Raw genomic sequence first — 14,798 nt, 5'->3', positions numbered from 1 at the left:
CCTCAGGAAACTTACAATTATGGTAGAAGGTGGAGGGGAAGCAGGGACATCTTACATGCCTGGAGCAGGAGGAAGAGAGGTGGGAGCGGCCACGCACTTTCAAACAACCAGATATCATGAGAACTCTATTATGGTGATGTGGTTTGACTGTGTTGCCACCCAAATCTTATCTTGAATTTCCATGTGTTGTGGGAGGGACTCAGTGGGAGGTAATTGAATCACGGGGGCAGATCTTTCCCATGCCGTTCTCATGATAGTGAATAAGTCTCGGGAGATCTGATGGTTTTAAAAAGGGGAGTTTCCCTGCACAAGCTCTCTTCTCTTGTCTGCCACCATGTGAGACATGCCTTTCATCTTCTGCCACAGTTGTGAGGCATCGATAGCCAAGAGGAACGGTAAGTCCAATAAACCTCTTTTTTTTTTTTTTGTACATTACCCAGTCTTGGGTATGTCTTTATCAGCAGCACGAAAACAGACTAATACACACAGGAAGAGAACCAAAGGGGAAATTTGCTTCCATGATCTAATTACCTCCCACCAGTCTCCACTTCCAACACTGGGGTTTACAATTCGACATGATATTTGGGTGGGGACACAGATCGAAACCATATTAATAGATTTACAGATTATCCACAACTTCTGTCTAACTTGGCTACAAATCAGAGTTGCCTGGGATCTTCTTCTCATGCTCAATAATTTTCTAGGGCATCTCACAAAGCTCAGAGAAATGCTTACATACATTCATTGGTTTATTATAAAGAATTTTACTAAGAATACAGGCGAACAGCCAGATAAAGAGACTAATAGGGCAAGGTATATAGAAAGGCCCTCAGAGCATCTATGGCCTCTCCAGGTATACTACCCTCCAGGCACCTCCATGTGTTTAGCAACCCGGAAGCTCTCCAAATTCTATGCTTCTTAGTTTTTATGGAGGCTTCATTAGGTCAACATGATTGACTAAATCATTGGTCATTGCGATGAACTCAACCTTCATCCCTTCTTTCCTCCCCAGAGGTGAGGGGAAGGAGGGTGACACTTCCAGTCCTCTAATTACACAGGTGGTTCCCTTGACAACCAGCCCCCATCCTAAGGCTATCCAGGAGCTTCCAGTCAGGAGCCAACTCATTAGCATTAGGGGCTGTGTGTTAGGAAGTGAAAATAACACCAAAGTTATTATAAATCAAAATATCACATTCTACATTTTTCCATTTGCCTTTTTGTAGTAAATGTTGGTATCATTTCTGAGCAATCAAAGATTATGGGTAGAGGGAAAGACATTGACAGGTAATGCAAAAAACATGAAGTCTTACATTGTTTAACCTGCAATTTTTCTATCACTTGATTTAGGGTTTTGCTATTTTTATAAAGGCAGTCTCGAAAATCCTGTACATTTTATTTACAATACTAAAAAGCCTTCCCAGACATATTTTCATCACATTTGTCCCCCTTGATGATTTCAGTGGAGGGAATATAATACATTTAGTTAGCACTTTACTGGAGAGCTATTTAGGGTGAACATATGAAGGTATGTATAATATGCTAACCAGCATGATTAGACATACTTTAAAAGTTATTCAGCATTACATCAATCATTTGATTATAGAATAAATAATGAGATGTGCACACACACGTTTTCCTTTTTTTTTTTTAAACTCAATCTGTGTATATATGTTCTATATTGTTACCTTTGGCAAGATTCTTAACATGTCTGAAAATTCCTGTGAATATTTGCCTATTTAGATGTTACGCATCTATTAATTGTAACTAATTTTAAAAATAAGAGTATAGTGATTGCATCTCATGTCATGTAGTGTTTGGCATGTGGTAGGTTATTTAACAAACGTATCTTGTTTACATGGAGAAATGTATAAATAACATGATTTTTAGTTGAAAGATATCTGGCAGAAACCTGGGAACCAAACACATATTTAATCAAGGTAAATTTTTTAAATCAAACATATTCTAATTCATGTTTCATTAAAAAGCTTATATAAATATGGCAAAATATATGTTAAATTAAATGATGTTATATATATCGTATGTATGCTTTGCTAGCGATTAAAAATAAACTTAAACTTATTGTGATCCTATTATGTATGGGATATTTACATGTCACATTTACTCTTCACAGCAATCTTTGTCCACATATAACAAGTAAGAAAAATTGAGGCTCAAATATGTCAAGAGACTTTCATAAGGTCATTGAATTTATAAAAGGGTGAGCTAGGATATGAGCCCAGTTTGCTTAGATGTCAAGTTAATGACATTGTGTTGATGTCAAAATGCTTTTGATTTTTAACAAGGCAACATGGATAAAATGCAACACAAGAATGCCATACGATGCCAGGCACGGTGGCTCACACCTGTAATCCCAGCATTTTGGGTGGCTGAGGCAGGCAGATCACTTCAGGTCAGGAGTTCAAGACCAGCCTGGCCAACATGGTGAAACCCCATCTCTACTAAAAATACAAAAATTAGCCAGGTCTGGTGGTGGGCACCTGTAATCCCAGCTACCTGGGAGGCTGAGGCAGGAGAATTGCTTGAGCCTGGGAGGCGGAAGTTGCAGCTGTGAGCAGAGATCATAACACTGCACTCCAGCCTGGAGTCTCAAAAAAACAAACAACAACTCAAAAAAACAAACCAACAACAACAACAAAAGAATGGGTAGCCATAGTGGATTCACACTGGGAATGCACAATAGGTATAGTTTACCCAAGACTTATATATACCTGTTTAATTGGGAACAAGCTCACACATTAACTAAACATTTCTAACTCTCATATCTAATTTCAAAGAAGTTTAACTGTATCTATTCTCATATAATATTAATGAAATGGCCAATAATTAATCTAACAAATCTTTGTGGAGTTCCTATCAATCATATGCGTAAACTGAGAATACAGCACCAAATGAAACATGGTTTCTGGGTTCAAGGACCTCATGGGCCACAATGAAGACAGACGGTATTCAAATTTTCCTAATAAATTTCACATAAAAGATTAGGTAACTAGATAAATAGATCGACAGATCAATAGATGGATGAAGATAAAATAATACAAATGTAAGTATTTTATTTCCATGTATACATAAATATATTTCATAGATAATCAAGTCATTCCAACCTTACTGAGTTTCCTAATCAATCATACCTAACATAATTTAATGTTATACATTTGGTATTTTCATCTATTTGGTGAAACTATTTGAATTATTTTTAACTATTAGCTCTTGAATTCATCACATAGAAAGCAACTGCTTTTGTTTTATTTCTAATTGACACATACCATTGCCATCTTTATGGAGAAACATTTTGGTTCTAAACTGATATTGAATTCATTATGATCGTAACCCAATATTTTTAAGCAATATTTGCTTCAAGATTGCTAAAACCTTTTCACAAGTCACACTTCATAACCCTTCAATATTTTGAAAATTCCCTACTGCTGAAAAAAATTAAACCAGCAACATTTGTATTACTTCAGGGTACTCTCTACCTTAATGCTAACCACCTAGAGGTTTACAATTTAAAAAGAAAAAAAGAACCACTTCATTCCATTCAGCTATTCCGGTGTGTTTGTTCTTTGTTATTGATTCTTTACAAATGTATTTGGTTAATACCTTGGCACTGCCCTGTTGGTAGATACTTGTTAGAGATAACACTTACATAACTCAAGTATAATATTTTAGCTTTAACCCAAAGAGATAATATAACTGATTTGCTTTGAAAAAGATACCCGTTTTATGGCTTTTCCAGTGGTGGAGATGGTTTTGCAACAATTTCCTACCATTGTACCAGTTTCTTTTTTGTAGATTTGTAAGTATGCAAGCAAAATAAATATGACAACAGAAATTGTGGCTGTGAAATACTTTATTTGTCTTCAGATTGGTCTGGCTTATACATGGATTGAACCTCAGTTAGGGCAGCACCATCTTCTGTGAAATTCACTGTGACAGTATCACGTCTTAAGTAACCATATCCCCAAGATATTTCATTTCTCTTGAGCCCTGCATATCCTGAGGATCTAGTCACTATCCACCAGTCTTTTTATACAGGTTCTTGAGCAAATGTTTATGTAATCATGCATTTGTATTGAGAATTATTGGAAAGCCATGAAAGTGAAAGTAGAAAGACCATTTCGAAGATAATTGTGACAATTCAGAGGAGAGATAGCAAAAGCCTCCCTGTCTTAGTTTGTGCTGCTGTAAGAATATGCTTGATACTGGGTAATTCCTGAAAGACAGAAATTTTTTTCTGACAATTCCAGAGGCTGAGAAGTTTAAGATCAAGGTGCCAACAGGTTCAGTATCTGGTTAGGGATGCTGTCTGCATCCAAGGTAACATCACCTATCACTGGGGAGCCACTTGATCTCCTTCCCTTGGTGACAAGCAAAAATATCTAGAGAACCATATGGCAATAAAGAAAAATGCAATTATTTCTCAGGAAATACTGCTTTAAAGGTAATTTGAAATATTGCTGTGACTTTGAAGAGAAGAGCATGAAGACAAATTATTCCATGTGGGAGGTTTGCTACACAGCAAATGAGAGCACAGATACTTTTAAGATGAATCGCCTTAACATATTTAGTGGATTATCCTTCAATAATGAAGAGCTACTTCTATGGGGCACTAAAAGATTATCTATCTATCTATCTATCTATCTATCTATCTATCTATCTATCTATCATCTATCTATCATATATGTATCTATCATCTATATATGTATCTATGTATCTACCTATCTATCATCTATCATCTATCTATCATCTATCCATCTATCTATCATCTATCTATAATTTATCTATCTATCTCCTATCTATAAATCTATCTATCTATCTATATCAGAGGTACAAAACATCTCAGTAATAAACAACTTAACAACTTTTATAAATACTGTATGTTAGAAGAAAATTGTACACATATCACCACTGGTGGAGGGCCTACATGACATAAATTTTTTAAAAGAAAAATATATTGAACAAATATTATATATAACAAGAAGGTATTGTTCTCCTATCTAGTGCTAGAGACATTCTATAGCTTTTATGTTGTCAAAATATATAGATATAGATAATTTCATATTTAGTATGAATCATATTTTGGATAATATACGATAATCAGACATTATATCTTAGTTTAACAAGAAACTTCTTTTATGTTAGCTGATGGGTTTTACGTATTAGACAATGCGTAAAATGCTAAAATAGTAGATCTATTTCCATACCCTGAAGGTCAGTAATTTGAACTTAGTAGGATAAATTGAGGGAAGATGTTGTAGAGCTAAGAATACTCTATGGAACATCCTATATATCTCATTCTCTGAGATCCACCTGGTAACAGCACAGTTTTTGAGCCAGAGAAGTAAAAGTGTGCTGCAGACATGTTGTTAAGGTTGACATATGACTATTTTTGAATGATTTTAAAGCCATTTCAAATCACTTCAAAAGTGAATGTGAAGTTCTTTTGCTGACATTAAGATAGATTGATGGTCATACCTTTGGACATATAAGTGAATGCAAATTGGAGAGGTCATTTGAAATCTCACTTTCAAAATAGGTATAGCAATAGCTATCCTGCAGTTTTTACTTTAAACGATTCATCAGTAATCAGTACTACTTTTTTTTACTATGATGATCTAAGGTTGACTTTCTTCCTTCATTCCTTCCTTCCCATTTGCCTTTCTTTGCTCTTTCCTTAACTGCCTTCGTTTTTTTCTTCTATCATCCTCCACACTTTAGTAAATGATAATGATTAATTCTAAAAAGATCCAGATGGAAATTCCTGTGAACAAAGAGTGGTAGGTTGCATGATGCTTTTCCTACAACCACCCCCACCCACAAATGGGCATGGCCTCATCCCTGAAACCTGTTAATATGTTAACCTTGCATGCCGAAAGGGGCTTTGCAGAGATAATTAAGGTAAAGGTCGTGAGATGGGAGGATTATCCTGAAGTATCCTGGTGGGTGCGGTGTAGACACTAGGGTTTATGTAAGAGGGAGGCAAGAAGCTCAAGTCAGAGAGAAAAAGATATGATGACAAAAGCAGAGGCTGGACTGCTGGGAGGAAGGAAGGCTTACAAGGGCAAGAATGCAGGAAGCCTCTAGAAGCAGAAAAAGGCAAGGAAACAGGTTTTCTCCTGCAGCCTCCAGAAGAATCTGGCCCTGTGAAAACCTTGATTTTAGAACTTCTCTCTTCCAGAATTGTAACATAATCTACTTGTGTTGTTTTAAGCTGCAAAAGTGTGACAATTTGTTAGGGCAGCAACAGGAAAGTAATACTGGGAACAACATATGCAACTGCATGAAAGTGTCGACCTTAGTAATGGGACATGTGAAGAAATGTAGCTAGAACATCAAATGGATGCAGAAAAATACCAAGTTATTAGGCACAATTTGCTCCATTTTTTTTTTTTTTTTGACCTGATTAGGTACCTCTGCTTTGGGTTCTCATACGCAATTTTCAGACCTGTTTTATTTAACTGATTGTTTTTCTGTTTCCTCTGATCTGTAAATTTACTGTGGACAAAGATCCGTGCTGTTTTGCTCACTGGTAGATTTCTGGCACCCAGCACAGGCCCTCAATTATGATATTCGTTAATGATTGAAATGACTTTTAAGTAGTTTGTTCTCAGAGAGGGGTCCAAATATTTATATGACATGTCTGAAAAAAAAAAGAATGTAATTTTCTACAACAGATAGTTTTCTCTTAATGACAGCAGGATAATTTTGATTTTTCCAGTGAAAGTTTTCTCAGGGAAATCTAGTTTAAAACAGTCTAGGTCAGGTGCTGTGGCTCATGCCTGTAATCCCAGCACTTTAGGAGGCTGAGTCTGGAGGATTTCTTGAGGCCAGGATTTTGAGGCTGCAGTGAGCCATGATTGGGCCAGTCCATTTCATCAAGGGCAAAAAGTGAGACTCTGTCTCAAAAATAAAGAAATAAATAAAATAAGAGAATAAAGAAGAGTCTAGTTTGTAAATTACTTAATGTTTCATGGTTTCTTCCTTTTCTGAAGTCCTTCCTTCTTGGTTCTCCTTTCCCAAGTGGCATCTGGGCCTTTGGGTTTCCTCATAATATTGGGGAAGTGCTAAGCTGTCTCATGCTGTCCCCCAGAAGCTCTCTGTAACCACGATGGAAGGGTTCAGGGTTTAGCTCCTGTAACAGCAAGCCCGTTTGCTCTTCATGACTGATGCTTAGTGGTTCTGATGCAATGACTCACTATGGCTCCTATGAGTGCAACTCCGCTTCCACAGCCCAAAGTTAGGCCCTCTTTGTCCTTGTGTCTATCTACTCATCGGATCCTTCCTAGTGGAGAACTCCCCTTCCACATCATTATTCTTCCATCTAGCTTTCTCAGTTTCTGGTTTTGCCCTAGTGGGGTATATGGGAAAGTTATGATCATCCATATGTTGTGTGTTGTCAGTGAAGAACCAGCAGAAATATCTCAGGTCCATCTGTAAAAGTACTGTCATCGGAATCAATATTCCTACATCCAGGCATTCCATTAGACTAATTGTCAGGGAAACTAGAATTTGCTTAGAAGGGCACAGACTTTCAGCATTGCAGGGATGGGAGAAATCAGCCTTGTAGTCTTATAAGCAATTGCTCTTTCAAACTAACTCTTTGCTAGATCCAGAAATAAAGACAGCGTTTATATTTACATTATGCCTTTTCTTTCCTTCTTCTTCCATCTTCTTTCTGTAACAAAAAAAAAAAATAGATAAGCATTTACCTTTTATTTTTCAGCAAAACACTCTCTAAAGCCTTTCCAGCTGCTTTATAGACTAAAACAGCAAACAAAACAAAGCAAAACAAACAACAAAACCAACAACAAAACTCTCAATGATCTTAGACAATTAGGCTTGGATCTTAACGTGAAAATTCCATTTTGGGTGAGAAATGTCTTTACCAAAGAATCGTAAAACATCAAGATCATTTGTTGGAACCTATTTTCTCACCTGTACTTTTAATACTCAACCCCGACACTATTTTGATGTTCACAGAGAAGCATTAACTTCCTCATAATCAATCAAATTCAGCCATCCCCATGAGGCATACCTTTTATCTGATGAGTTAAAAAGCCTTAAATCAGTTAGGAACTAGGAATTACCTGAAACACAAATGTTTTGATTTAACATCTTCTTCCTACACAAACTTTATTTATTTCGAAGGTGGTTGAAAGCCCTTGAAGGTTATTAAGCAGGTGACTGACATGGTCATAACTGTAGGTTCAAAATCACTGGCAGTAGATTGAAAGGAGTTACTGGGTCAGGATAAGCCTAGAGATGGAAGTCCATTCCATGCTAGATCTAAAATGCAAGTGGGAAGCAAGACTGCTGTGACCTAAGACAATGATCCGAAGACAGAGAGAAGAAGGTAACATTGAGATAATTTTATAAAAATGAAATGACTCATTGGATGTGGCAGAAAAAGAGCAGCAGAAGAGTCTATTGTAATTCCTTGGCTTTTGTGCCATTTAATGACACAGAAAATGGAAGAAAAAGAGCAGATTTTAAGAATACGGGCCGGGCGCAGTCGCTCACGCCTGTAATCCCAGCACTTTGGGAAGCAAAGGCCGGTGAATCACAAGGTCAGTAGATCAAGACCATCCTGGCTAACACGGTGAAACCCCGTCTCTACTAAAAATACAAAAAAAAAAAATAGCGGGGCGTGGTGGCGGGTGCCTGTAGTCCCGGCTACTCAGGAGGCTGAGGCAGGAGAATGGCGTGAATCCAGAAGGGTGAGGGTGCAGTGAGCCGAGATCGCGCCACTGCACTCCAGCCGTCTCAAAGAAAAGAAAAAAAAAAAAAAAAAAAGAATACAATTATCCAGTCTCCTTTGGACATGTAGATTATTAACGACATAGGAATTCAGATTTAGACTCAGAAATGGAGTCTCAGCAGGAGATATGAAGACTTGGGAAATATAAGTGTATGGAGAAGACAATTTTAAATTCAGGGACACTATTCATAGAAAACCTGATTTTTAAATATTTTATGAATAAAATCAATTTTACTTTATTATAGCATAAATATAAATTTCTAAATGGCAGTAGTCAACAAGCCAACATATTAGACGTATATTTTCCATATGTTGGAAAATATTTTTATATAGGCATAGATCACTATGGGCACAGTTATTTGCCACTTTTTATACATTTATTTTTCTTTGCATAACTTTCATAGCTCTAGACTTCTCTGGATTTTTTTATTCCTCATCTTCAACTCATAAGTCCTAAATATTTCTAATGTGGTCTAAGGTAGTTGCCATATGATGGTTTACAAACATGGCTACAAGTTATAGAACTAATAGATACATAGAAATCTATGGAACCCATTCATGTTAAGTGGACTTTTTGCTTCATTTTTTGTGTATACAACCTGGACTGCATGCAGCTCCTTTAGCTTCTTGAGTCCTACCTACATAAAAGACATTTTAAATATATTTCTGAAAAGATAAACATTTCTAAAAGTCTTAAAGCAAATACTTTTTTGAAAGCATAGTAATTAATTAGTAAAAATACATCAAAATGTATGCATGTAAAAGCAAATATACTTTAAATATGATGTAAAAAGAAATAAAAGTGCTTGTTTGTAAATTTATGCAATATTTTTAAAATTTAATTCATATATTGGTATTCAAATATTGGATGGAAAGTAATTTTTCAGCCTTTGATGTTGGTGGCATTCTTTTTAATACTGAACACATTTAGTAACTGTATAATTAAATAAATACAATATTACTCCTGCTATAATACATTCACCATCATTTTTCATAATATCTTAAAATGGGTGCCTTTATGATTAAGAATCAATCAAAGAAACAAGAAAGAGATCATATACACTTTGTTAGTCAAAAAACTGAAAGGGTATTTTATATTTCAGCTTTAGAGGAGGCATAATTTGGTGACATTTGAATGTTCTCTATATTTAGGACTTTGTCATGAAAATTGCCCTATTTTGTATGCACATTAATGTTCTTTCAGAGAAAACGTAAAATATTCCTGGATAAGTTCCCAGGTGCTGTTAAGTAAGTTCATTCTGCCTCATAATTTGTACATCGTTCTCTCACATGGTGCTATTTGTGTTATTGATGGGCCTATGCATTCTCAGTTGCAGACTTCCTGTCTTTGTAAATTCTTTAGATGATCCTGCTTGTAATTACCTTGTGCTGGGCCCTTTCTCTGTTACCTGAAGAAAGTTTTATAAATCACATTATGCATGCAGAACAGCAGTGCTGTGTGTGGATTCTATTCTTGTTCCATGTCTGAGGCCTCAACTGAATGTTGCAAAGGAGCAAAACAAATGGACAGTGACCCATCTATCTCCATTTCCTTCTGAAGGTGACATCAGTGGATCTTTTTGATATTATTTAATAACCTTCCAAGACCAACCTCATTGTTTAGAGATACATTTGTCCGTGTCTTATTTGCCTTATTATAAATTAATCATCCCAAATTGTATGTGGATATCATTGACATATCCAAATTTACACAGAAAATGAAATATAAATATATAAAAACTCATTATATCTAGATATAAACTCATTATATCTAGAATAATGAGTTTCACCTGTTTATTATCCTCTCTTTTAAGGAGAAATTTTAGTTCCTTCAAAATTTGTATAATCTGCTAAAATATTCCCAGTTGTGAGGATAGTAAGAGTTTCAATGTATCTATCAACTTAATATGTTTATAAAATTTCAACTAGTGAAATTTTTATTTTTTCTACTGAAATAAAAATATTTAGCTTGTTGTTCTGTGAATACCAGTATTCATTTTTTAACATTTCTACAATTCAGATTACCATACACCTAATATCTTTTAGCTGAGTTATGTCTAAAAGAAGCTCATTGTTGAATTCAATGTTCTGAATTTTAACTGTCTCTTTATTCTTAAGAAAGGTGGTCATTTAATTAATGAAAGATGCATTGAGTATTGAATACATACCATGTACCAAGCATTTTGCCATTCTCTGCAGATATTGTGATTTAAAACTTAAAAAATGAATGAGATAGAAATTACCTTTATTCTACTTTGCACAAAGCTTATAGTATAGTGAAGGACGTGGAAAGTTAAAGAGGGATGTTAATTTCCAATTGCTGTTGTGAAAAGTTACCACACACTAAGTGGCTTAAAATAACATGAATTTATTATCTTAAGTTATGGAAGTCAGAAGTCCAAAATTAGTTTTACTGGGTTAAAGTAAAATGTCAGATGGACTGGCTCTTCCTGGAGGCTCTGAGAGGAGAATCCATTTCCTCGCCTTTTTCAGGTAACAGTAGCTACCTGTATTTCTTGGCTTGTGGCTCCTTCTTCCATCTTTAAAATGTATTATTCCAGTCTCTGTTTCCTATCACCCTCTCTGCTGACTCTCAGTCCTCTGTTCTACCTGCAACGGTTATTATGATTATATCAAGGCTATGTATGTAATTCAAGATTATCTCTCCATTGCAAGAGTGTTGATTTAATGACATCAGCAAAGTCTTCTTTGCCATATATCTCAGTACGTTTGAGCTGCTGTAACAGTACACCACAGACTGGGTAAATCATAATGTGCAAAAATTTATTGGCTCACTGTTCTGGAGTCTGGAAATATCAAGTTCTGGTTTCTAATGATGATTTTCTTTCTGTATCATCACATGGCACAAGGCAAAGGGTGAGAGAGCAAGAAGGAACCCAACTCGCTCTTTTATGATGTTTTGATCCCAGCTATGAAGGCAGGGCCTTTATGTCCTAATCACTTCTTAAATGTCTTACCTCTTAATACCATTGAAGTGGCAAATAAATTTCAACATTAATTTTGGAGGGGACAAACATTTAAATCATAGCACCATGTAAAGTAACATGCACAGGGTCCAGAAATTAGGATCTGTATATATTTGTCTCAAGAAATAAACAGATGCTTGCAATAAAGGAAAATAAATTTTACAATAAGAAAAACAGATATTCTTATAGAAGCATAGAGGAGGGTAATCTAAAACAAGGATGTGGCAAAAAAACAAACAAACAGTATTTTCCTTTTGTTTGATTCGGTTCACTCTACCAAACTGTTTACATGCTGTTCTTATTTTGCAGAAGACTAGATCATTTGTTGTGGTGCTTTTGTACATTCTTCATAGGTGTAGCCCCCAGGTATCGGCTTCTGCCTGCGCTTCTCTCAATTAGCATGATTTCATTGCTGCTGGGCTGGTTGCTTGCAAGACCTGCTACATCCACTCCCTTAGATCCAATCTCATTATTTTCTAGCTCCTGTCAGAACTGTTGCATGCCGTCATATGCTGCTTTAAGAAAAACATCCATGTCCTTTGCCCACTTTTTGATGGGGTTGTTTGTTTTTTTCTTGTAAATTTGTTTGAGTTCATTGTAGATTCTGGATATTAGCCCTTTGTCAGATGAGTAGCTTGGGAAAATTTTCTCCCATTTTGTAGGTTGCCTGTTCACTCTGATGGTAGTTTCTTTTGCTGTGCAGAAGCTCTTTAGTTTAATTAGATCCCATTTGTCAATTTTGGCTTTTGTTGCCATTGCTTTTGGTGTTTTAGACATGAAGTCCTTGCCCGTGCCTATGTCCTGAATGGTAATGCCTAGGTTTTCTTCTAGGGTTTTTATGGTTTTAGGTCTAACGTTTAAGTCTTTAATCCATCTTGAATTGATTTTTGTATAAGGTGTAAGGAAGGGATCCAGTTGCAGCTTTCTACATATGGCTAACCAGTTTTCACAGCACCATTTATTAAATAGGGAATCCTTTCCCCATTGCTTGTTTTTCTCAGGTTTGTCAAAGATCAGATAGTTGTAGATATGTGGCGTTATTTCTGAGGGCTCTGTTCTGTTCCATTGATCTATATCTCTGTTTTGGTACCAGTACCATGCTGTTTTGGTTACTGTAGCCTTGTAGTATAGTTTGAAGTCAGGCAGTGTCATGCCTCCAGCTTTGTTCTTTTGGCTTAGGATTGACTTGGCGATGTGGGCTCTTTTTTGGTTCCATATGAACTTTAAAGTAGTTTTTTCCAATTCTGTGAAGAAAGTCATTGGTAGCTTGATGGGGATAGCATTGAATCTGTAAATTACCTTGGGCAGTATGGCCATTTTCACGATATTGATTCTTCCTACCCATGAGCATGGAATGTTCTTCCATCTGTTTGTATCCTCTTTTATTTCCTTGAGCAGTGGATTGTAGTTCTCCTTGAAGAGGTCCTTCACATCCCTTGTAAGTTGGATTCCTCGGTATTTTATTCTCTTTGAAGCAATTGTGAATGGGAGTTCACTCATGATTTGGCTCTCTGTTTGTCTGTTGTTGGTGTATAAGAATGCTTGTGATTTTTGTACATTGATTTTGTATCCTGAGACTTTGCTGAAGTTGCTTATCAGCTTAAAAAGATTTTGGGCTGAGACAATGGGGTTTTCTAGATATACAATCATGTTGTCTGCAAACAGGGACAATTTGACTTCCTCTTTTCCTAATTGAATACCCTTTCTTTCCTTCTCCTGCCTAATTGCCCTGGCCAGACACTTCTCAAAAGAAGACATTTATGCAGCCAAAAAACACATGAAAAAATGCTCACCATCACTGGCCATCAGAGAAATGCAAATCAAAACCACAATGAGATACCATCTCACACAAGGTAGAATGGCAAACATTAAAAAGTCAGGAAACAACAGGTGCTGGAGAGGATGTGGAGAAATAGGAACACTTTTACACTGTTGGTGGGACTGTAAACTAGTTCAGCTATTGTGGAAGTCAGTGTGGCGGTTCCTCAGGGATCTAGAACTAGAAATGCCATTTGACCCAGCCATCCCATTACTGGGTATATACCCAAAGGATTATAAATCATGTTGCTATAAAGACACATGCACACGTATGTTTATTGTGGCATTATTCACAATAGCAAAGACTTGGAACCAACCCAAATGTCCAACAATGATAGACTGGATTAAGAAAATGTGGCACATATGCAGCCATAAAAAATGATGAGTTCATGTCCTTTGTAGGGACATGGATGAAATTGGAAACCATCATTCTCAGTAAACTATCGCAAGAACAAAAAACCAAACACCACATATTCTCACTCATAGGTGGGAATTGAACAATGAGATCACATGGACACAGGAAGGGGAACATCACACTCTGGGGACTGTTGTGGGGTGGGGGGAGGGGGGAGGGATAGCATTGGGAGATATACCTAATGCTAGATGACGAGTTAGTGGGTGCAGCGCACCAGCATGGCACATGTATACATATATAACTAACCTGCACAATGTGCACATGTACCCTAAAACTTAAAGTATAATAATAATAAAAAAAAGAAAAACATCCATGTCAATATACTTATTAAAATGTATTTGATACTCATTGCCAAATAATAATGGGCAATTTTCCTGTAACAGGTATTATATAACCTGACTGTGACTTATACTTCTACCCTTTGCACTAATATATATCCTGAAGTTTAGCTCAACTTGAACAATATCCATTTGGTGTGAAAGCCTCCCATGTTCCTTCCTTCATGAGATTATAATTGTACACAGTTGCCTGGTTTTAAAAGCCCAGCCTAAGTTCAAATTGGCTGAAGATGACTTTCAAAATTCATCAAATCTGAAGTAACCTTTACTTTTTGGGAGTTCCTTAAATACGTCTCAATGTACCTTCTACCTTATGTTGTTATTATTTACATCAGTTTTCTATCACTATAACTGGTATATATGCTTTTTGAAACAATCCATGATTTATTCATCTCAGTGTTTTTCAAAACACCTAATACTACATTTTAGAAATAAGATATGATCAATAAAGATAGGGAGAATGA

General features: G+C 36.2%; 1 pseudogene across 1 annotated transcript in view; it reads right to left on the bottom strand.

Moving 5' to 3' along the window:
- Positions 1-3,850: 3,850 nt before the first annotated feature.
- The window catches only part of GUSBP1 (GUSB pseudogene 1), a 129,860-nt pseudogene continuing 118,912 nt past the window's right edge, over positions 3,851-14,798 (bottom strand). Inside the window, exon 5 of the transcript NR_027026.2 lies at positions 3,851-7,693. The product of NR_027026.2 is annotated as a GUSB pseudogene 1, transcript variant 1 (transcript). The remainder of the gene's footprint in view (positions 7,694-14,798) is intronic.

This window comes from Homo sapiens, chromosome 5 (genome assembly GCF_000001405.40).
Source record: "Homo sapiens chromosome 5, GRCh38.p14 Primary Assembly".
Classification (NCBI taxonomy): Eukaryota; Metazoa; Chordata; class Mammalia; order Primates; family Hominidae; genus Homo; species Homo sapiens.
This window is presented reverse-complemented; position numbering and strand designations above follow the sequence as displayed.